The sequence below is a fragment of the Homo sapiens genome, chromosome 1 (genome assembly GCF_000001405.40).
Source record: "Homo sapiens chromosome 1, GRCh38.p14 Primary Assembly".
Taxonomy (NCBI): Eukaryota; Metazoa; Chordata; class Mammalia; order Primates; family Hominidae; genus Homo; species Homo sapiens.
Window position 1 is genome coordinate 179,693,029 of NC_000001.11, and position 24,755 is coordinate 179,717,783.

Consider the following 24,755-nt stretch of genomic DNA (forward strand, 5'->3'; position numbering starts at 1 on the left):
TTATTATACTGTCTCCCAAAAATGTGGGCTTTGTCTAGTAAACTAAACTAAACTAAACTATCAGCAAAGAATCAAAGTAGATACATCATTTGAAAATGAGTAGATTTCTGTATATGGGCAGGAACAGTGATAAGAAAGAAATGTACAAAAGATATGTAGATGCTATGTGTTTTAGAGTTAATTTTATTTTATTGTCAAAAGATGGGCTGACATCTATACTTTGAACAGTTCCCTGCCCCACCCCCAACATTTTTGGTATTCAAGACCTGTTTGCAGTAATGGAGGTCCCCAGTGAATGTTGAATGGGAAATGGGAGCCTGAGGTATGTGAAAGGAAATGAGTGAGAACATAAAGGAAAATCCTGGTGCTAAACTCCTTAGGGATGGAAGAGGGACTGGCTTTACTAAAAGCGACTCTGGTTTTACCTCCAGTGGCTTGTAGCCAATACTACCCATCTCCCATCCAAAAATACCCCAAAAGCCTGGGGTGGGGAGTGGCTCATGCCTGTAATCCTAGTACTTTGGGAGGCTTAGGTGGGTGGATCGCTTAAGGCCAGGAGTTCGAGACCAGCCTGGCCAACATGGTGAAACCCTGTCTCTACTAAAAATACAAAAATTAGCTGGACTTGGTGGCATGTACCTGTTAGTCCCAACTACTTAGGAGGCTGAGGCATGAGAATCATTTGAACCCAGGAGGCTGAGGTTGCAGTGAGCCGAGATCGCACCACTGCATTCCAGCCTAGGCGACAGAGCAAAACTCCGTCTCAAAAAAAAAAAAAAAAAAAAAAAAAACAACCCATGAGATACCAAAAGAGGAGCCATTCCAGCAGCAAGCAGCCTTTCCCCTCTAAACTTCAGGTTTGAGATGTCAGTTGCCCATTTCAAGGCATGGGGAGTAACTAGAGGCTTCTGCCCACAATCAGCCTATGTCTAACCTAGAGACTTAGAATTACAGAATTTTGATCTAGAAGGGAACTTAACATGAGGAAATTTGAAGTCTAGAAAGATCAACTTGACAGCAGCCGGGGTGGCTGGCAAGATGGCTGAATAGGAACAGCTCCAGTCTGCAGCTCCCAGCAACATCAACACAGAAGGTGGGTGATTTCTGCATTTCCAACTGAGGTACCAGGATCATCTCATTGAGACTGGTTAGACAGTGGATGCAGCCCACTGAGGGTGAGCCGAAGCAGGGGAGGGCATTGCCTCACCCAAGAAATGCAAGGGGTTGGGGATCCCTCCCCTAGCCAAGGGAAGCTGTGAGGGACTGTGCCATGAGGAATGGTGCATTCTAGCCCAGGTACTACACTTTGCCCATGGTCTTCACAGCCCACAGACCAGGAGATTCCCTTGGGTGCTTATACCACCAGGGTCCTGGGTTTCAAGCACAAAACTGGGCAGCCATTTGGGCAGACAGCTAGCTGCAGGAGTTTTTTTTCATACCCCAGTGGTGCTTGGAATGCCAGCAAGACAGAACCGTTCACTTCCCTGGAAAGGGGGCTGAAGCCAGGGAGCCCAGTGGCCTAGCTCAGCAGATCCCACCCCCACGGAGCCCAGCAGGCTAAGATCCACTGGCTTGAAATTATCGCTGCCAGCACAGCAGTCTGAGCTCGACCTGGGACACTCAAGCTTGGTAGGGGGAGGGGTGTCTGCCATTACTGAGGCTCGAGTAGGTGGTTTTCTGCTCACAGTGTAAACAAAGCCACCAGGAAGTTAGAACTTGTTGGAGCCCACTGCAGCTCAGCAAAGCTGCTGTAGCCAGACTGCCTCTCTAGATTCCTCCTCACTGGGCAGGGCATCTCTGAAAGAAAGGCAGCAGCCCCAGCCAGGGGCTTATAGAGAAAACGCCCATCTCCCTGGGAGAGAGCACCTGGAGGAAGGGGGAGCTGTGGGCGCAGCTTCAGCAGGCTTAAACGTTCCTGCCTGCCGGCTCTGAAGAGAGCAGTGGATCTCCCAGCACAGCACTCGAGCCCTGCTAAGGGACAGACTGCCGCCTCAGGTGGGTCCCTAACCCCCATGCCTCCTGACTGGGAAACACCTCCCAGCAGGGGTCGACAGACACCCCATGCGGGAGAACTCTGGCTGGCATCTGGTGGGTGCCCCTCTGGGATGAAGCTTCCAGAGGAAGGAACAGGCAGCAATCTTTGCTGTTCTGCAGCCTACACTGGTGATATCCAGGCAAAAAGGGTCTGGAGTAGACCTCCAGCAGATCTGCAGCAGAGGGTCCTGACTGTTAGAAGGAAAACTAACAAACAGAAAGGAATAGCATCAACATCAACAAAAAGGATATCCACACAAAAACCCCATCCGAAGGTGACCGGCATCAAAGATCAAAGGTAGATAAATCCACAAAGATGAGGAAAAACCAGCTTGAAAAGGCTGAAAATTCCAAACACCAGAATGCCTCTTCTCCTCCAAAAGATCTCAACTCCTCTCCAGCAAGGGAACAAAACTGGATGGAGAATGAGTTTGATGAATTGACAGAAGTAGGCTTCAGAAGGTGGGTAGTAACAAACTCCTCTGAACTAAAGGAGCATGTTGTAATCCCATGCAAGGAAGCAAAGAACCTTGAAAAAAGGTTAGACAAATTGCTAACTAGAATAACCAGTTTAGAGAAGAACATAAATGACCTGATGGAGCTGAAAAACACAGCACGAGAACTTTGTGAAGCATATACAAGTATCAGTAGCCAAATCGATCAAGCAGAAGAAAGGATATCAGAGATTGAAGATCAACTTAATGAAATAAAGAAGACAAGATTAGAGAAAAATGAAAAGGAATGAACAAAGCCTCCGAGAAATATGGGACTATGTGAAAAGACCAAACCTATGTTTGATTGGTATACTGGACAGTGACAGGGAGAATGGAACCAAGTTGGAAAACACTCTGCAGGATATTATCCAGGAGAACTTCCCCCACCTAAGCAAGACAGGCCAACATTCAAATTCAGGAAATACAGAGAACACAACAAAGATTCTCCTTGAGAAAAGCAACCCCAAGACACATAATTGTCATATTCACCACAGTTGAAATGAAGGAAAAAAAGGCAGCCAGGGAGAAAGGCGGGGTTACCCACAAAGGGAAACCCATCAGACTATAAGCGGATCTCTCTGCAGAAACCCTACAAGCCAGAAGAGAGTGGGAGCCAATATTCAACATTCTTAAAGAAAAGAACTTTCAACCCAGAATTTCATATCCAGCCAAAGTAAGCTTCATAAGAGAAGGAGAAATAAAATCCTTTACAGACAAGCAAATGTTGAGAGATTTTGTCACCACCAGGCCTGCCTTACAAGAGCTCCTGAGGGAAATACTAAATATGGAAAGGAAAAACTGGTACCAGCCACTGCAAAAACATACCAAATTGTAAAAACCATCGACACTATGAAGAAACTGCATCAACTAATGGGCAAAATAATCAGCTAGCATCATAATGACGGATCAAATTCACACATAACAATATTAACCTTAAATGTAAATGGGCTAAATGCCCCAATTAAAAGACACAGACTGGCAAATTGGATAAAGAGTCAAGACCCATCAGTGTGCTGTATTCATGAGACCCATCTAATGTGCAAAGACACACATAAGCTCAAAATAAAGGGATAGAGGAATATTTACCAAGCAAATGGAGAGCAAAAAAAAAAGCAGGGGTTGCAATCCTAGTCTCTGATAAAACAGACTCTAAACCAACAAAGATCAAAAAAAAAGAAAGGCATTACATAATGGTAAAGGGATCAATGCAACAAGAAGAGCTAACTATCCTCAATATATATGCACACAATACAGGGGCACCCAGATTCATAGAGCAAGTTCTTAGAGACCTACAGAGACACTTAGACTCCCACACAATAATAGTGGGAGACTTGAACACCCCACTGTCAATATTTGATCAACGAGACAGAAAATTAACAAAGATATTCAGGACTTGAACTCAGCTCTGGACCAAGTGGACCTAATAGACATCCACAGAACTCTCCACCCCAAATCAACAGAATATACATTCTTCTCAGCACCACATCACACTTATTCCAAAATTGACCACATAATTGGAAGTAAAACACTCCTCAGCAAATGCAAAAGAACGGAAATCATAACAGTCTCTCAGACCACAGGGCAATCAAATTAGAACTCAGGATTAAGAAACTCACTCTGAACCGCACAACTATGTGGAAACTGAACAACCTGTTCCTGAATGACAACTGGGTAAATAATGAAATGAAGGCAGAAATAAATAAGTTCTATGAAACCAATGAGAACAAAGACACAACATACCAGAATCTCTGGGACACAGCTAAAGCAGTGTTTAGAAGGAAATTTATAGCACTAAATGCCCACAGGAGAAAGTGCGAAACATCTAAAATTGACACCCTAACATCACAATTAAAAGAACTAGACAAGCAAGAGCAAATAAATTCAAAAGCTAGCAGAAGACAAGAAATAATTAAGATCAGAGCAGAACTGAAGGAGGAGATAGAGACACAAAAAACCCTTCAAAAAATCAATGAATCTAGGAGCTGGTTTTCTGAAAAGATCAACAAAATAGAAGACCACTAGCCATAATAAGAGAGAAGAATCAAATAGATGCAAAAATGATAAAGGGGATATCACCACTGATCCCACAGAAATACAAACTACCATCAGAGAATACTATAAACACCTCTATGCAGATAAACTAGAAAATCTAGAAGAAATGGATAAATTCCTGGACACATACACCCTCCCAAGACTAAACCAGGAAGAAGTTGAATCCCTGAATAGACCAATAACAGGTTCTGAAATTGAGGCAGTAATTAATAGCTTACCAACCAAAAATAGCCCAGGACCAGATGGATTCACAGCCAAATTCTACCAGAGGTACAAAGAGGAACTGGTACATTCCTTCTGAAATTATTCCAAACAATAGAAAAAGAGGGACTCCTTCCTAACTCATTTTATGAGGCCAGCATCATCCTGATACCAAAACCTGGCAGAGACCCACCAAAAAAGAAAATTTCAGGCCAATATCTCTGACAAACATCAATGCAAAAATCCTCAATAAAATACTGGCAAACCAAATCCAGCAGCATATCAAAAAGCTTATCCACCAAGATCAAGTTGGCTTCATCCCTGGGATGCAAGGCAGGTTCAACATATGCAAATCAATAAACATAATCCATCACATAAACAGAACCAATGATAAAAACCACATGATTATCTCAATAGATGCAGAAAAGGCCTTTGATAAATTCAACATCCCTTCATGTTAAAACACTAGGTATTTTCATAATAACTAGGTATTGAGGGAATATACCTCAAAATAATAAGAGCTATTTATGACAAACCCATAGCCAATATCACACTCAATGGGCAAAAGCTGGAAGCATTCCCTTTGAAAACTGGCACAAGACAAGGGTGCCCTCTCTCACCACTCCTATTCAACATAGTATTGGAAGTTCTGGCCAGGGCAATCAGGCAAGAGAAAGAAAGAAAGGGTATTCAGATAGGAAGAGGGCAAGTCAAATTGTCTGTTTGCAGATGACATGATTGTACATTTAGAAAACCCCATCATCTCAGCCCAAAATCTCCTTAAGCTGATCAGCAACTTCAGCAAAGTCTCAGGATACAAAATCAATGTGCAAAAATCACACATTCCTATACATCAATAATAGTCAAATCATGAGTGAACCCCCATTCATAATTGCTACAAAGAAAATAAAATACCTAGGAATACAACTTAGAAGGGATGTGAAAGACCTCTTCAAGGAGAGCTACAAACCACTGCTCAAGGAAATAGGAGAGGACACAAATGGAAAAATATTCCATGCTCGTGGATAGGAAGAATCAATGTTGTGAAAATGGCCATACTGCCCAAAGTAATTTATAGATTCAATGCTATCCCCATCAAGCTACCATTGACTTTCTTCACGAATTATAAAAAACTACTTTAAATTTTATATAGAACCAAAAAAGAGCCCTTATAGCCAAGACAATCCTGAGCCAAAAGAACAAAGCTGGAGGCATCACACTACCTGACTTCAAACTATACTACAAGGCTACAGTAACCAAAACAGCATGGTACTGCTACCAAAACAGATATATAGACCAATGGAACAGAACAGAGGCCTCAGAAATAATGCCACACAGCTACAACCATCTGATCTTTGACAAACCTGACAAAAGCAATGGAGAAAGGATTCAGTATTTAATAAATGGTGTTGGGAAAACTGGCTAGCCATATGCAGAAAACTGAAACTGGACCCCTTCCTTGTATCTTATACAAAAATTAACTCAAGATGGATTAAAGACTTAGATGTAAGACCTAAAACCATAAAAATCCTAGAAGAAAACCTAGGCAATACCATTCAGGACATAGGCATGGGCAAAGACTTCATGACTAAAACACCAAAAGCAATGGCAACAAAAGCCAAAATTGACAAATGGGATCTAATTAAAGAGCTTCTGCACAGCAAAAGAAACTATCATCAGAGTGAACAGGCAACCTACAGATGGGAGAAAAATTTTGCAATCTATCCACCTGACAAAGGGCTAATATCCAGAATCTACAAGGAACTTAAACAAATTTACAAGAAAGAACCCCATCAAAAAGTGGGTGAAGGATATGAGCAGACACTTCTCAAAAGAAGACATTTATGCAGCCAACAAACATATGTACAAAAGCTCATCATCACTGGTCGTTAGAGAAATGCAGATAAAAACCACAATGAGATACCATCTCACACCAGTTAGAATGGTGATCATTAAAAAGGGAACAACGGATGCTGGAGAGGATGTGGAGAAACAGTAATGCTTTTACACTGTTGGTTGCAGTGTAAATTAGTTCAACATTGTGGAAGACAGTGTGGTGATTCCTCAAGGATCTAGAACCAGAAATACCATTTGACCCAGCAATCTCATTACTGGGTATATACCCAAAGGATTATAAATCATTCTACTATGAAGACACATGCACATGTATGTTTATTGCAGCACTATTCACAATAGCAAAGCCTTGGAACCAACCCAAATGCCCATCAATGATAGGCTGGATAAAGAAAATGTGGCACATATACACCATGGAATACTATGCAGTCATAAAAAATGATGAGTTAGGTCCTTTGCAGGGACATGGATGAAGCTGGAAACCATCGTTCTCAGCAAACTAACACAGGAACAGAAAACCAAACACTGCATGTTCTCACTCAAAAGTGGGAGTTGAACAATGAGAACACATGGACACAGGGAGGGGAACATCACACACGGGGGCCTGTCGAGGGGTGGGGGGTTAGGGGAGGGATAGCATCAGGAGATATACCTAATGTAGATGACGGGTTGATGGGTGCAGCAAACCACCACGGCACATGTACACCTATGTAACAAGCCTGCACATTCTGCACATGTATCCCAGAACTTAAATTAAAAAAAAAAAAGATCAACTTGCCTATGGTCACACAGTTTGAATTATCATATCTGCTGATTCCTAGCTCAGTGCCCTTTCCACAGGAAATATTGCAGCTCCATCTTGTGTACTTGAAATGATTTGATGCCAGAAGACACAGCTTTGATAGATCAGTCCATAAGAAAGGTGCTTGTTGGTGGTGGTGGGGCAAGGGACTAATTGGCAGGCTTGGTCATATCCTTGAATGTGGATACTTAAATAGTGGGCCAGTTCTACAGCTGAAGAATCTGAAAAAGGGATAGGCTAGCATAAGGAATGAGAAACCAACTTCTTACAGAGAAATCTTTCTGAAGCTTTCTATTAACATTTATGCTAATAGGCATTTCTAACATTTTTGATATCTTTTCATAATCTCATATACAGTCCAATGGATAGCATTCACTATATGCCTTATTTATAATTCTGCAGGAGCTGTCACTAAGATGTTGAATATATTTCATTTCCTGAAGCCCATTCAAAGCTTGACCTTTTCCAAGATTCCAATCAAGGAGCATAGCTGTATGAACTAAATCTATGTACTTTGAATTTAGCCCCATTCCTAACAAGTGGCGTTTGTTTCATTTGGACAGTCACCAGTCATTCTAGCAAGTTTTAGGTCCCACTGGCCTCTTGAAACCAGAATCCCTTAGATACTTGTTTTAACTGTGGACAGAAGATGTTGTAACTACTCAGGGAATTCTTTAATATTTAGTATCATAATTGACTTGTGTGCCACTTTTCATGTGAAATTGAGTGACTGTACCTCAAAACTGAATAGAGAATTTATTCACGACTAAATTTTCTTGGTTTTTTAAGCTTCATTTTCAGGAAATGCTTTTAGCTTTCTATTTGGCCTAAACTTTGTTGTATGTTTCCATTAAAATTTTTTAATTTATGGAAAAGATATAATAAATAATATTTACTTGATTTTAACTTCTTGGTGCAATTTAAATAAATAATCTGATGATGAAGCCAAATGTATAACTCCATCTCTGCCCTCTAAACTTTTGTTACAGAACTAATGGGAAGTTGTTGGAATCAAGAAATGATTAGCTTAATCTTTAATCTTTGGTTAAAGATTACCATTTGGTTTGATTTAAATACTTACGTATGTAACAACATTTTGTTTGATTTAAATACTTATGAAGTTGGAATTTGTTTTTTCAAAAATGTCTCGGTGTTTGTAAATTAGTGTTGTTGATTCTATAGGAATGAACATTTCATTTAAATATGTAAAGGACTTGAGTAAAATGCAAAATTTATGTAGTTAGAAAACAGATTTGATTCTTGACTAAACCATTTGTCTTCATTTTTGGCATGACCTCTTTATTTTCAAAGTACTGGCCTAGTCAGCCTTTCTTATATTTTAGATAATTCCATGAAATTGGAAATTCATTAATGTTGGAGCCACTTCTTAAGTACCTGACAGCTACATTTCAAAGAATTATTTATCTTTTGTATAGCAACGTGTCAAACCCTAAGTCATCATCTAGGTTCTTAAATTCTCTTTTGAATCTGTTCCACACACCAAATACCAAACCTAATTCTGTCTTGCAACTATAACTCAGTGCTCATTCAGCTGCCTCCTTGGTTTATTGATTCCACATTCAGAGCCTTTGCTGCAGTCCAGCTCTTCTGCCTAGAGCAGAACATTTCCAGATGGTTCTGAAATTCCAAACTTTTCCTTCATCTGTCATTCCACTGGACCATAAGTAGAAGCTGTAAACAAGTTCAATTCATTACTTACTAGAGCAAATGGTTCCCTGACAAAAGCATGCATTACTGCAGTGTTGTTACTCTGATAGAGAATCTCTTCTGATACCATATATATGAAAACACCTTTCAGTTAAATAAGATGGTATGTACCACTTAGGATACTGACTGTTAGACAAAGAATATCCCCATGTATTTCCTCTTCATGATACCCTGTTTGACATGAGTATAATGTCTAAGACTTTTCAAGTTTCTATATGCTAGGGACAAGTGATCTCCAACTTTTATGGAGTCATTAACTTTCTTTTTAGAGACAGGGTCTTGGTCTGTTACCCAGGCTGGAGTGCAGTGGTGCACTCATAGCTCACTGCAGCCTCAAACTCCTGGGCTCAAATAACCCTCCCACCTCAGCCTTAGAGTAGCTGGGACTTCAGGTGCATGCTACCATGCCTGGCTAATTTTCTGTTTTTTTAATTTTTATTAGGAACAGGGTCTAGCTATGTTGCCCAGGCTGGTCTTGAACTTCTGACCTCAAGCAATCCTCCCACCTCGGCCTCCCAAAGTCCTGGGATTACAGGCATGAGCCACCGTGGCTGGCCCAGACTTTCTTGAATAGAAGTTCAGAAAAATCTCCCTCTTGCTCAAGCCCCACCTCTGCCCTGTGTTCCTCGCCTAGATATGAACTAGGAATAGACTCCTTCTGGCTACTCCCAGCCCTTCATCCTGTGATCTGAGAGACAAAAATAAAAAATAAAAAAATAATAAATAATAAAAATAAAAATGCCCCTTTATCAACTAAGACAGACACTAAGGTTAAAAAAACAAAAGTTACCTACGGGTCAAGGGTTCAGGGCTCAGTTGACATGATACCTTCCTGAATGCCTAGGTGACAAGGAAAACTACACTCTTGCTAAACCCTCTAACAATAGGAGCTATCAGACTCCTCCTAACTGATTTCCAGCCCTACAAACATTCTTTTCTGATAAGCACACCTGCCGACTCTAAGCCAGTTTCAGCCAGCTGATAGAGGCTGTACACAAACTCTGTGTTCTGTAGTTCACCTTTTAATGTAAAGAGCCAAATTCTACCACATTTTAATGTTAAAAGCCCACTCTAGAGTGAACATGAGATGTGTGTTACACATACGTCTATCCACTGGGCATGTGCTCGGCCCCTCCCCTTCATAAATATGTATAGCTTTTCTGCCAGTCCTGCTGAATGTGTATGACTATTATGTGTTACAGCCCAGTGAGCTATCAAACTCAACCTCTCTTCGCCTCTTAGAAGAGGAAGAACCTTCATCCATGCTGGAGACTATCTCTTCCCTGTTTGCAAACTGATACCACCAATAAAGCTCTCCTTTTTACTATTTAGCCATCCTGGTGGTTTTGGATGACATGCCTCACATTCAAGGCCTGTCAAATTCTACCTCCTCATTATCTCATTAGTCCCTCTTTCTCTGTAGACCTGCTGTCACCCTAGGCTAAGCCACTTCCATGTCTTTCCTGGCACGTGGTAGATGCTCGGTAAATTTTACTGAGTGATAGAATGAGTAGATAGGACAGGGAATAGGATATAAATTAAGGCCATTGAAATCTTGATCTTTTTTCTGCAATGCTGTGTTCTGAATATCTATAAAACAGAAGACTTATTGGGAAGAGCCTAATCAAACATGAGCAAACATCCCATTTAAACTTTGCATTTAGAATTGGATGAAAAGCACGTCCTCCAGATAAGAGTTCTGAGTAGAAAGGCAGGAAGTATTTTGTTAAGGTTACTCTTCTGCAGAAACCATATTTGATCATTTTTCTGGCTGGGTTTGTGAAGGAAACTGTCCCCCCAGAAAAGCAATTTGACATTTTCTGCTTTTCAGCAACAGCCTCTTACTCTCCCCAGAAAACACTGATTTACCAAATTGGCTCCTTTTAATTTATTGTTCCTCATTCTCTGAGGCTCACCTCTGACTTCATGGTTTATTTTCCAGAAAATTTTTCTAACACCACAAACCCCAGTGCAACAGGTAAACACAAGTCAAAAGAAATTCATTTAAAGCTGCCCTTTAGAGTTAATATTTATCTTGAACTTCAACTTCATTCTGTGGACCTTCTGGTGGTCTTAAAAGTTTGTAGCTAAATCAAGGGACGTGTGTGTGTGTCAGAGAGAGAGAGTGTGTGTGTGCTGGTGTGAGCACTGGCTATGTGTTGTGCCAAATAATGAACTCCAGGGACAAAAGAAAAATGAAAGAAACCAAAGAATTTGCTCCACTTACCAAGAAATGTCTTTGTATTTTGTGGTGGCTTTTCTTCCATTAATCCTTTTTAAGTATATATTGACTCTGAATATTAAAATCATGAGATTTTTGTTTTGTTTTGAATGTGGCATAGTGTGAGAAAATGTGATTTTAAAAAATAATATTACAACTAAAGAAATGAGCAAGGAAAGTACCACCAACTTTGTTTCTATTAGATAACAAAGATTAAATCATGGATTCACACTGAAGAATAAAATGCATTAAAATAAGCATTGCCAATGCAGCAGGCACAGCAGCAGTTTGCAAGCTTGGCCTTGCACTTTCATCCCCTGGAGGAGCTTTCAAAAACTTCCTCTGCTTGGAACATATCTCCTAAAGACTGATTTAGTGGCTCCTACGTGATTGATTCTAATGAGCAACAAGAGCTGAGAACTACCATGCGGGAGGGTAACACCAACTACATACAAGAAACAAACATATGTCCTGACCTTTCTTACTAAAACTTTAAAGTGGTGATTCTCAAGGGAAGGAGTTGGAGGAGCACACTGCCTGGATGAAGAGAGAACTTCATCAATCTATTCACACTGCCCCTCCTCCCCGCCCCATTTCTTCAGTCCTTCTGTGAAAGCTGATCATATGAATTGGGCCATTCTTGTCACACCCACATGAAACAGTTGAGAAGCCATGAGGGAAAAGAACTCAGGACCCAAAACGTTGCTCCAAAAATGTAATTCTCTGCACACCTGGCTGCTGAAGCTGCGTGCTGTAATCTGAAACCCATTTCATCAAATAGTTGCTAAAATGATTTGCTGCAATTTTATGACTAATTTTATCTACTGCCATCACTCACTAATCAAAACTTGCAGCTCCCTAGAACCTTATTAGTGCCAAAGAACTTTCTCAAAGAGCAGTATGTAACGTTTCTCTTATTTATTTTTATTTGTTTATTTATTTATTTATTTTTGAGACGGAGTCTAGCTCTGTCACCAGGCTGGAGTGCAGTGGCGCAATCTCGGCTCACTGCAACCCCCGCCTCCCGGGTTCAAGCGATTCTCCTGCCTCAGCCTCCCGAGTAGCTGGGATTACAGGCGCCCGCCACCATGCCCAGCTAATTTTTGTATTTTTAGTAGAGACGGGGTTTCACCATGTTGACCAGGATGGTCTCGATCTCTTGATCCGCCCGCCTCGGCCTCCCAAAGTGCTGGGATTACAGGCGTGAGCCACTGCACCTGGCCACATTTCTCTTTTTTATAAAACCCCCAACCTTCTCTTTGTTCTTCAGACATACCAAAGACCGCCCTGTATGCCATGAATTGCAATTCTTTCTTCCCAAATGAAAGTGACAGCCACTGTGACATATCCAAGGGTTTTATCCCTCAGACATGCGAGCATGGGCATAAGAAGCTGAGAACTCCTATGTTAGAAAGTAATTTTATTTTTAATAAGTGAAATAGAGTAGCAATAGGTTACTGTAACTCATCTGAATTTGATTATCCACTATGTAAGTTCTATATTCTTTTATCTCCCATAGTGGTATTTTCCTACCAAATATTGTAAAAAATGTAATGTGGGCCATATCATGAACAATACTTGAATTGTGATGGCTTTTTTCCCCTCTCACAATACTGGCCAAACGGATGGCAACGTGGGGAGAGTCGAAACAACCTTCCCAACAGTGAAGCCGGTGGCAACTCTTCTTTTGTTTGTTCATGCCATGACATTGATTGGGCAAGATAAACTGATATCATTGGAACCTTTGTGAAATCTTAACAAAACTGAATTTGCTGTTGTCTTTGAAATGAGTCTTTAGGAGTGTCAGGGTGTCATAAGGAGTGTTTGGTGTCATAAGGGCATTGGCCGAGGGTTAGTTGGTAATACTGCCCGGATAGCTGAGCTTTCAGCAGCAGCTGCTAAAACGGAGAGCCAGGGCAAAGTAGTGTGTGAAAACCTCATTCGAGTTTTCAACTTGGAGATGATAAGCCCAGGATTTCTCTACCTGAATTACTCCTCAGAGTAGACTTGGTGAGGGGACTACTTCACCAAAGCTGGATTTTTAAAAAATTGTTTTGTTCTAAAGTCAAATTAATTATTCTTTAGAGGGTTTTGCTTTTTCCTTGCTGCTAGGTGGCGCTCTAGGACAGGAGTTCTGTTGCCAGGCCAGCTGCTAAAAATCCTTCCCTTGTGTGTTTCATCGCAGGTTTTAGAGTTAAAAATGGAGCTAAGAGCTAACTTCATCCAACCCCTCTTTTTACTTGGAAGAAAAAAAAAAACAAGTTAAGTGACCTAGAACATGAATTCATTGGAAATAGGTTCTTAATGTGTGATCTTCCCACAGATTAAAATTTCCCTTTCTAATTTTACCCTCCAGGAAATGGCCACAGAGCACTCCCTTTTTACAGAACTTAAACTTTAATACTGTATAGTTATCTATTCTTTGAAGGTGGTGGGGAAACACCAACAACCCCTAATCTCTTTCAGAAGCTACAAGTACTGATTCTATCTTGCTGCATTGAAAAAGTTTTAAGAAAAAAAAATCACTTTGCCATCTTTATTTTGGCCTTTCCATGCAGATGTGTTTTCACCTCCTTTATAAATTACTGCTATAGGAAAAAATAGAAAATTTTTACAATTTTGGCACATTTTTTAGTCTTTAAAATGATTTTTTTAATTCCAGGGCATTAAGTTTTGTGTTTGTCTGCCTTTCTGGGGGAAGGTTCTTGGCTTGCTCAGATTCTCAAAAATGATTAAGAATGCCTGCAGGAGGCCGGGCGCAGTGGCTCATGCCTGTAATCCCAGCATTTTGGGAGGCCGAGGTGGGCAGATCACCTGAGGTTGGGAGTTCAAGACCAGCCTGACCAACCTGGAGAAACCCCATCTCTACTAAAAATACAAAATTAGCCAGGTGTGGAGGTGCATGCCTGTAATCCCAGGTACTCGGGAGGCTGAGGCAGGAGAACCACTTCAACCTGGGAGGCAGAGGTTGTGGTGAGCCGAGATCGCGCCATTGCACTCCAGCATGGGCAACAAGAGTGAAACTCCATCTCAAAAAACAAAAACAAGAATGCCTGTAGGAATTCTGCATCCTGTAATATGACTATTTGCTCACCAGATTCTCGGTGAGATGGAAAACTGATTAACCCTTGTGACTTCACTCTCAAATGAAGACAAGCAAATTCTGTGGTCAGAGCCTGGTTTTAACTCACATCAGGAGTCAGCTCTAATAACCATCACTTACAGAGGACTTTACAAATTGCAAAACAGCAGAGGCTGCTGCCAACTAAAGTTTAAATCACATTAACACAAGGATAGTATATAAGACAAGGGAGTAGTTTGATAAGTTCTACACCTCTGTTGGCTTCTAGGAAGCAAAACGTTTACAAAGAAGATAGACCAGCATTCACAAGAGAACTGATCGGATAATAAGAGTTTTATGGAGTTCATATGTGCCACAAGCTGTTTATTCTGTGTGCTTTTATATAGATTACATCATGTAATCCTTGCAACAGCACCATGGGGTAGGTGGTGTTATTACTCCCATTTTACAGATAAGGAAATCAAGGCACAGAAATGCATTTTGCCAACATCATGTCAGAAATTAATATTGTATTACAATAATCTTAATATCCAATTACTAAATGCTCATTATATGCCAAAACTTTTACATATTTAATATTTACAGCATCCTTGTTACTATTCTTTTTTTTACAAGAGGAAAAACTTGAGGATCAGAAAATTATTTACCAAGAATCACGCTAGTAAGTGGTAGGACCTTAAATAAGTCAGATTTCGCCAAAGAGTTGCCCATATTATCTTCTTATACTTCTCCGATTACCTATTAAACCAATTCCAGTTCCACCTACACCACTCCACCAAAACTGCTCCTGTCAAGGTCTCCAGCAACTCCATGCTGAATCCACTAGTCAGCCCTCAGTCATCCCATCTGACTTATCAGTAGCATTTGATACACTTGACAATCCTCCTCCCTGACACTTTCTGTCCTCCCAGCACATCTCATTCTCTAGGGTTTCCTCGTACTCATTGGTCAAAGCCTTAGCATCTTTTGTGCCTCCTCCTCTTTTTCCTGGCCTCTTAATGCTGCAGGGCACCAGGCCTCATTCTCTTGGGAATTCCCCCAGTCTCCTGGCTTTAACTACCATCTACATCTATAGGAAATCCTGTTGGCTATGCTTCCAAAATGTGTCTGGAATCTGCCGGCTTCTCACCAACCCTACCTCCACCACCAGGTCAGAGTTACTGTACTGAGCCTGGACCACTTCGCAGCCTTGTCTGGCTTCCCTGCTGTCCACAGTGCTCTCTCACTCTGCTCTCCACAAAGCAGCCAGAGGGGCCCTTTCAAGCTCCAAGGCAGCTGGCATCCCTCCTCTGCCCAAGGCCCCCTGAGGGCTCCCAGTCTTACTCAGAGTCCTTACAATGGTCCACAGCGGTGTTGCCAAAGACAATGCAGGATGCCCAGTTAAATACGGATTTCAGGTAAACAGCTAATAACTTTCTAGTTTAAGTATGGTTTCATGCAATATTTGAGGCATATCTGTATTTTTAAAATTATTATCTGAAATTCAAATTTAGCTGAGATTGCAAATTTTTATCTGCTAAATCTGCCAGGCATATCCACCAGCTCTACATATGCCCCCCGTTACCTCCTTGACCTCATCTCCCATGATCTCCCCCTTATTCACTGCACTCCCCCACACTGGCCTCCTCACTTTCTTCCAGTGCATAGCTCCTCACTTTGGGCTCTTGCCTTGGCTGTTCTTCCTCCAGCATCTGCGTCTTCTCAAAGAGGTAATTTCTAAAATGACTTCTCAACGCTGTGCTCCCAATGCCCCTAATCCTGCTCCACTTTTTTCCATAGCACCTGACTTCTAACATGACTCATTCTTTTTATTGTGAACTGTAGGTCTCCACCAACCAGAATCTAAACTCCACCGGGCAGGTATTTTTGTCCATTTCGTGCATTATCATATCCCAAGAGGCTAGAACAATAGCACCTCTGTACACAATAATTGTTTGTTTATTGTGAATGAATGATTTCAAAGGCTTTTGCTCCTTTCCATTGCATTATATATTCCCTCTGTTTCAACTTACGATAAATATCTGAACAAACTGAGAGTGCACAGCCTGGAGAGGAGATTACGGGCAGAGGTGGAGAATGTGCTCACACCTCAGCTGGAGTGGTCCTTTTGTTGTGGGACAGTCTGGTTCAAGGCACAGAACTGTCCACAGCTCTCTGCCCAGGCAATTGCCACATTCCCCACACCCTCAGTATTGCCCTCTATTTAACAACAAAAAAGTGTGTATTTTCTATGTGCCAGTTCCTGTGCTGACCTCCAAGAATACAAGGATAAACAAGATAATGCTACCTAGGAGGACCAGGCAATGAGCTTGAGGTTCTTGCCTGATTGATAAAATGAAAAAGAATTGGGCCTGACTGCCCAGAATCACCGCAAGGGCCACAAGCCCTTATATCCTATCATCTCCCCCCAGGTTATTTCCTACTTTGGTAACCCCCAAGAGAAAACCAAAGTGAATGTTAAGCAGGAGCAGTGAGAAGAACATCTGCTGTAACCTCTCTATGACCCCAATGCAGTAGCTCAGCAGAGATGAATTAAAGCGCAGGAAGCTTGTTGGCGTCAGTCTCCATTGACGCCAACAGGAAGGTGGAGCAGAGAAGCAGATTTGCTGCTGAAAATCATTTCCCCTGGAAAGTCCCAGGAGAAAAAAAAAAATCATTACAGCTGGGATAATAATGTTTACTCAACAGCCTTGTGTAAATTTTTGACCCACCTTATTTCTGCACTATTAGGGTCTGGAATTACTGATTAAAGATATTATTATGTTGGTGCAAAAGTAATTGCGGTTTTTGCTATTACTTTCAATGACAAAAACCTCAATTACTTTTGCACCAGCCTAATACCATCTTAATATGCAATTGCTAGCTGGAAAAGTCTAGGGCAGGTTACAGAGGTGTAGTATTAACATGGCTAAAACACACACAATAGAAAATGGAGAAAGAAGTATCTTGAGGGGAGCATGGTTTGCAATGCCCTTTTCTCTTCTCCCTTTCCCCTTTCATTCCAGGTGGGCCTCCAGCATGTCCCTAGTCACCAAATTACAGAGCTGTCATTTTCTAATTCAATGAAAATTTACTGGGGGCCTGTTTGACACAGGCTGTGTCACCTCCTGTCTCCAGGGTATTAAATTGACTAAAAGAGCTCATCCTTTACTAAAGAGGGTAGCTCCCTAGTGCAACTGTGACCAGGCATAGAGGGGTAAAAAGTCGGCCCTGGCATTAACTAAATGCCCACAGCAAGAGCTTGTTCTTTCTTCTTGTAAAAAATGACCAGATGCTAGAACTCAGGACACCTTGGATGACACCCAACATTCTAGAGGAAAATCATAGATAGACCTGGCAGATCTCGTCAGGCAGAGCTGGCCTGGCAAAACTGGGAAGTGAGCCATACTGATCCTCAACATTCTCCAATTTTCATTTTCAGCTCTTTTCCCTCTGACCATTATTTGGTTCTGCCCCATGAGTGGCCACAAAGTCCCCCTGCCCTGCCCTCCCCTATCACAACCCACCCAAGGACCTTGCTAGGTGACACTGACCCATTCCACATTTTAGAGTCTGAAATTATTCCTCAGTCTTCCCAGCACTTTGGGAGGCTAAGGCAGGCGGATCACGAGGTCGGGAGTTCGAAACCAGCCTAGCCATTATGGTGAAACTGTGTCTCTACTAAAAAACACAAAAATTAGCTGGGTGTCGTGGCGTGTGCCTGTAGTCCCAGCTACTCAGGAGGCTGAGGCAGGAGAACCACTTGAACTCAGGAGGCGGAGGTTGCAGTGAGCTGAGATCACGCCACTGCACTCCAGCCTGGAGTGCAGTGCAGTAAACATTATTATCCCAGCTGTAAGCGAGTGAGACTCCATCTCAAAAAACAAAACAAATACCCAAAAAATATTGCTATCTAGCAAGGGAATGTGACAAAACCAATTGAAAAGGAATAAACTAGTGACTATAATAGTTTAGATAACTTCCTGGAGTGCTTGCCTTTTGGAGAGGCAATAAATAAGAAAATGAGGCTCTGAATGACCAGAACCAAATAGAACCTTCTTAGATTCTATTCTATTTCTCAAAGTAATATGAGAATTAACTAAAATCTTGAGATTTTTGCCAAGGACAAAACATTACATTGACCCTTCTAGTAAATGAGACAACTGCACTTCTTAATCCTCCCTTTTCCAGACAAATACCAGTCAGTAGGTCCCTCATTTCTAACTCCTCATATATGTCAATAGGACATAGCATTTTTAAACTATGAAAAGATGTTAAATTTCATCACTTTAACAATGTATAATTTAATCACATATAAAATGAAAGATGGTTGTTAGAGTTCTTCCAAGATAAGTCTCTAGCTCCTCACAAATTTAAAGGATCCATTTTAAACTTATGAAGAGGCTGTAAGAAGAGACACTAGAACCAAATGTGAACAGACATCTAGACAATTGATTCTGGATGGCTAAAGCTCAACTTCTTCATTTAATTAACAAATACTTGTTGAGGACTTACCGTGTGCCAGGCATCAGGCTCGATGCTGAAGATGAAAGACTGTTCCTGTCTTCAGGGATCTCACAGTTTGGTGGGACAGGGCAGAAGAAACTTAAAATAAGCAACTACGACAGGCTGTGATAAGTGCCATTATGGAGCACGTACAGGGAACATTGGGAGCACAGAACACTTCACTCACTCTAGGGTTGGAGAGAAGGGTATATTGGAGGAAGATTTCTCAAAAAAAACCTGTGCTGGATTTTAAAGGTCATATACCTGTCTCTAGTTTTAGTGTATGGAAGGTATTTCCAAAGCATATAAATGGTATTTCAAAAGCACAAAAGAAAAAAAGGAAATGTGGGAGATATTATTCCCAGTTGGTGGGGAAAAAAGTAAAAAATAAGTTAAAGGGGCCAGGCGCAGTGGCTCATGCCTGTAATCCCAACACATTGGGAGGCTGAGGCAGGCAGATCACTTGAGGTCAAGAGTTCGAGACCAGCCTGGCCAACATGGTAAAACCCCATCTCTACTAAAAATACAAAAATTAGCTGGGCGTAGTAGCGCATGCCTGTAATCCCAGCTATTCCAGTGGCTGAGGCATGAGAATCGCTTGAACCTGTGAGGCAGAGGTTGAAGTGAACCAAAATCTTGCCACTGCATTCCAGCCTTGGTGACAGAGTGAGATTCTGTCTTAAAAAATAAAATAAAATAAAATAAGTTAAAGGAAAATTACCTAAAACTTGTAGATAAAAGATGATTATATGACTTTTTATGTCATGCTAACAACATTTTCTAATGAGCCTACTTTATTTACACAACTGATCATGACTCAAACATTTTACAAGTCTGTAAAATTTATAAGGTGATTTTTGTTTCTACCAGTGTAAAGAAGACCCATGGATCATCTTCTTTATATTGGTAGAAAAGGTTCTTTACATTGGTTAAGAAAAAGGGGGGGTGGGTGGGTATATTTTTCCTATACGACAATATGTAACTAGCAAATTTATTGCAGAATTCCTTTTTTCCCCCTCATTATAAAAATCTCAGTTTCTCAAACTCTTTTTGGAACCTACTTGGCCATCCTACTGGTTTCATCATTAAAGAGTTCATCATTAAAGAGTTAAATAAAACTTTGAAATTAGCTCACCATTTTTTTGTATAAGGATTAGGTTTTTAAATTCACATGGAAACTTGAGGGGCTCTGAACAGCCAAAAATAACTTGAAAAAGAAAGACAAAGTTGGAAGTCTCATTTCCAAATTTTAAACCCACTACAGAGCTACAGTAATCAAAATAGTGTGGGACTAGTGTAAAGAAATACATATAGACCAATGAATAGAATAGAGATGGCAGAAATAAATGTCCAATTATATGGTGATTGAATCTTCAACAAGGGTGCCAAGACCATCTAATGGGGAAAGGACAGTCTTTTCAACTTATGGTGCTGGGAAAACTGAATATCCACATGCAAAAATATGGAGTTGGTCCCTTGCCTTATACCATATACAAATACACCTCAAAATAGATCAAAGGCCTAAAGGTAACACCTAAAATCATAAAACTGTTAGGAAAAAAATGTAGTGGGAAAGCTTCATGACATTGAGTTTGATAATGGTTTTTGGATATGACACCAAATGCACAGGCAACAAATGTAAACAGATAAATTGGACTACCCCCAAATTTGAAACTCTATCAAAGGACACAACCAATAGAATGAAAAGGCAACCTACAGAATGGGAAAAATATTTGGATCTTGCAAAAGATTAGTAACCACACACATACATACACAAACACATAGCCAGCTAGCTATCTGCCACAATTTTTTACCTATTCATCTGTTGATGGACACTTAGGTTGTCTCCATATCTTAATATTTTTGTCTTTTAGTCTTCATACTTAAGATATAAGTGGTTTATTTCCACAATTACAATATTAAAGTATTCTGAATTTATCTGTTTGCTTTCTTTTACCAGGAGTTTAATACCTTCAGGTTTTTTTTTTAATCTCAAAAAAAGGTACTTTATTGATGGTGGCTTGTGTTATCATCATTATTATCACCCTTTTCTTATATATATGTATATTTTATTATTATTATACTTTAAGTTCTAGGGTACGTGTGCACAATGTGCAGGTTTGTTACATATGTATACATGTGCCATGTTAGTGTGCTGCACCCATTAACTCGTCATTTACATTAGGTGTTTTCTCATTTCACATTTGCATCTATTTCTTTCAGGTTGAGCAACTCCCTTTAGCATTTCTTGTAAGGCAGGTCCTATGTAGATTAATTCCCTCAGTTTTTGTTTGTCTGGAAAAGTCTCTCTGCATCCTATTTGAAGGATAGCTTTACTGGGTACAGTATTCTTGGTTGGCAGTATTTTCCCTTCAGCACTTTGAATATAGTATCCCATGTCTCCTGGCTTGCAGAGTTTCTGTGGAGAAATCTGCTGAACGCTGTATTGGGACTCTATGGAATGTGATATGTTTCCTTTTTCTAAATGTCTTGAGTGTTCTTTTTTTGTCTTTGATTTTTACTAATTTGATTATGATGTGCCTTGAGGAATTCCTGTTTTGAATTTGATTGGTGACCTCTGAGATTCCTATACCTGGATGCTGTTGTCTTTCTCCAGATTTGGAACATTTTCAGCCATTATTTCCCTAAAGATGCCTTCTAGGCCTTTTTCCTCTCTCATCTCCTTTGGGAATTTCTATTATGTGAAGGTTAGTTCTCTTGACAGTGTCCCATAATTCCCCTAGGCCTTCTTCACTCTTTTTTAAAATTCTTTTTGCTCTTCTAATTAGATAATTTCATGTGTTCTGTATCCATGCTTGCTAATTCTTTCCTCTGTTGGATGAAGCCTGCTGTTGAAGCTTTCTAATGAGTTTTTCAGTTTAGCTATTGTATTATTTATTTCCAGTATTTCCATTTGATATTTAAAAATTGTTTCTATTTATCTGTAAAATTTCTCATTTTGTTCTTGGATTGTTTTCCAAATTTCATTTAGTTTCTGTCTTTTCTTGTATTTCTTATGATTCCCTGAACTTTTTAAAGAGGATTATTCTGACTCTCTGTGAGACATTTCACAGATCCACAATTCTTCTGGGTCTATTGCTGGAGCTTTGTTCATTTCTCTTGGTGGTGTCATATTTCCCTGAATTTTCACAGTCTTTGCAGCTTTATATCAACACCTGTGCATTTGAAGAGATAGCCACTTTTTTCAGGTTTTGCAGGTATTCTTAGGTGGTATTAGAGTTTTACTACTTAGTATCAGAACTTAAGCACTGGTCAACATTGCTTCCTGTTCTGGGGAGGACTTAAAGTGAGCACCAGAATGAAAACACTGCAATGGAACTAACTCACTGCTCTTTCATTATTTCTTCATCTGGGGAATACTAACAGCAAACATCAGAACTCAAACATTGCCCTGGAACTATATTGCTACCCTATTATTTCCTAGTCTGGAGAAGGCTTACTTAAATAGGCACTGGAACTTAATCCTGATCTTTTAGTTGTTTCCAAGCCAGAGAAAGGCTCCACATAAGCACTTGGGCTTTGTAAAAAATTCAGCCAGGAATTTGGGCCTTCTCATGAATTGTGCCCCTTGCAGTGCTATGGGGCAAGCCAGTCTCTTGAATGTGGTGTCCCTGCTGTCCAGAGCACAGAATAACCTCTAAGATCCATGGATCAGTCATTGTCATCAATGCCTTCTTCTTTGGCTCCAATTCACCCCAGTGATTCAACTCTCCTATTACCCCTAGTGGTTCCTGCAGGGTGAGACCACAGTCAACTTCCTGTGAAAATTCCCAGACTGGTGAGGAGATCCATTGTCCACCTCCAATTCCCTCCTCTCACTTCAGAAACTGTAAGTCTAGGGAAATTCTCTGTGAGTGGCATTATGCCAGCTTGGGGAGTGGCTAGCTCATTCTGAAATGACCATTTCTCTTACCAGTTGCAGCTTCTCTCAACTCTGTGGGCCCAGGAGGTTTCATTGCTTCTCCCCTGAGTTCTGGTGAATTCATAGTGGTATTCTTCTTTAGATGGTTTCTCTTTGTATTGTTGTGGGGGAAGTGATGCCAGGAGATCTATTCTACCATCTTGCTAACATCACCAACCTGTTTCCACATCTTGGCTCTTGTGAATAATGCTGCAAATATGGGCATGCACATATTTCTACATGATACTGATTTCATCTCCTTTGGATATACATCCAGAAGTGGGATTGCTGGATCATATGGTAGTTCTATTTTTAATTTTTTGAGGGATCTCCATATTGTTTTCTATTTTACATTTGACTGCACCATTTTACATTTCTACAACAGTGTACCAGGGTCCCTTTTTCTCCACATCCTCATCAACATTAACCATTTGTCTTTTGTCTTTCTGATAATTTGATATTTGTCTTTTTGACAAATAATGGCCATCCTAACAAGTATAAGGTGATAATGGTTTTGTTTTGCATTTGCTTGATGATTAGTGATGTTGAGCATCTTTTCATATATTGTCGGCCATTTGTATGTCTTCTTAGGAAAAATGTCTATTGTGGTCTTTTGCTCATTTTTTTATTTTTTATTTTTATTTTTTATTTTTTTGCTATTATGTTAATTCCTATATATTTTGGATATTGCCCCTATCAAATATATGGCTTGCAAATATTTTCTCTCTTTCCAAAAGTTGCCTTTTCATGCCACTGATTGTTTCCTTTAATGTGCAGAAGCTTTTTAGTTTAATGTAGTCATACTTGTCTATTTTTACTTTTGTGACCTGTGCTTTTGGTGTCACATCCAATAAATCATTGCCAAGATCAGTGTCAAGATTTTTCCCTATGTCTTCTTCTAGGAGTTTTACAGTTTCAAGTCTTACATTTAAGTCTTTAATCCATTTTGTGTTGACTCTTGTGTATAGTGTAAGATAAGGCTCCAATTTTATTCTTTTGCACTTAGCTATTCAGTTTTCCCAACACCATTTATTGAAAAGGCTATCCTTTTCTCATTGTGTATCCTTGGCACCTTTGTCAAAGATTAGTTGACTGTATATGTATGGCTTTATTTTTGAGCTGTCTATTCTGTTCCACTGATCTATGTGTTTGTTTTTGTGCCAATTCCATACTGTTTTGATTCCTGTAGCTTTGTAATATAATTCAAAATCAGGAACTGTGATGCTTCCAGCTTTGCTCTTCTTTATCTAGATTTCTTTAGCTATTTGGGGTCTTTTGTGGTTCCATATACATTTTAGAATTTATTTTCTATTTTTGTGAAAAACGTCATTGGAATTTTGATGAAGATTATGTTAAATCTGTAGATCACTTTGGGTAGTATGGACATTTTTGCAGTATTAAGTCTTCCAATCCATAACATGGGATATCTTTCCATTTATTTGTGTTTTCAATTCCTTTCATCAATGTTTTACAGTTTTCAGTATACAGATCTTCCACCTCCTGATTAAATTTGTTCCTATCTTATTCTTTTTGATGCTATAATAAACGGGATTGTTTTCATTATTTCTTTTTCAGATAATTCATTATTTTTATGTTGATTTTGTATTTTTTGACTTTAATGAATTTATTAGTTCTAAAAGTTTTTTGGTGAATAAAAGTTACTAATTTACTGATATTACCCAACCCCCTTCAACCACATTACCCTCTGTTTTTCCATAGTAAGGAAAAGAATGATTTGCAATTATGTTCTAGACTCAGCACTCTCTTCTAGGCAGTGATCTCAACTATTGTTCTGCCACCCATGTACACTAACTGGGATAGTTTTTCTCTGCATCATCTGGAGGCTTTATGGTGGTGTTAGTTTATGTTTTTCTTTGTGA

General features: G+C 40.1%; 1 long non-coding RNA gene across 2 annotated transcripts in view, besides 1 other annotated feature; it reads right to left on the minus strand.

The window, feature by feature from the left end:
• The window catches only part of LOC105371635 (uncharacterized), a 39,520-nt gene that overhangs the window by 2,488 nt on the left and 12,277 nt on the right, over positions 1–24,755 (minus strand). Inside the window, exons 2-3 of one of the 2 annotated variants that reach the window (XR_922328.2) lie at positions 18,963–19,021; positions 9,006–9,129 (exon numbers count right to left, since the gene is read on the minus strand). This is a non-coding gene — a long non-coding RNA (uncharacterized LOC105371635). Of the gene's footprint in view, positions 1–9,005; positions 9,130–18,962; positions 19,022–24,755 lie in introns of those variants that run through there. The other variant, XR_922329.3, reaches the window with a different exon arrangement.
• Positions 16,744–16,813: an enhancer, noted in NCBI's record as "active region_2153". NCBI's record gives its function as "activates an Ori minimal core promoter by ATAC-STARR-seq in GM12878 lymphoblastoid cells {active_cell/tissue: GM12878}" and the evidence as "EXISTENCE:reporter gene assay evidence [ECO:0000049][PMID:35858748]".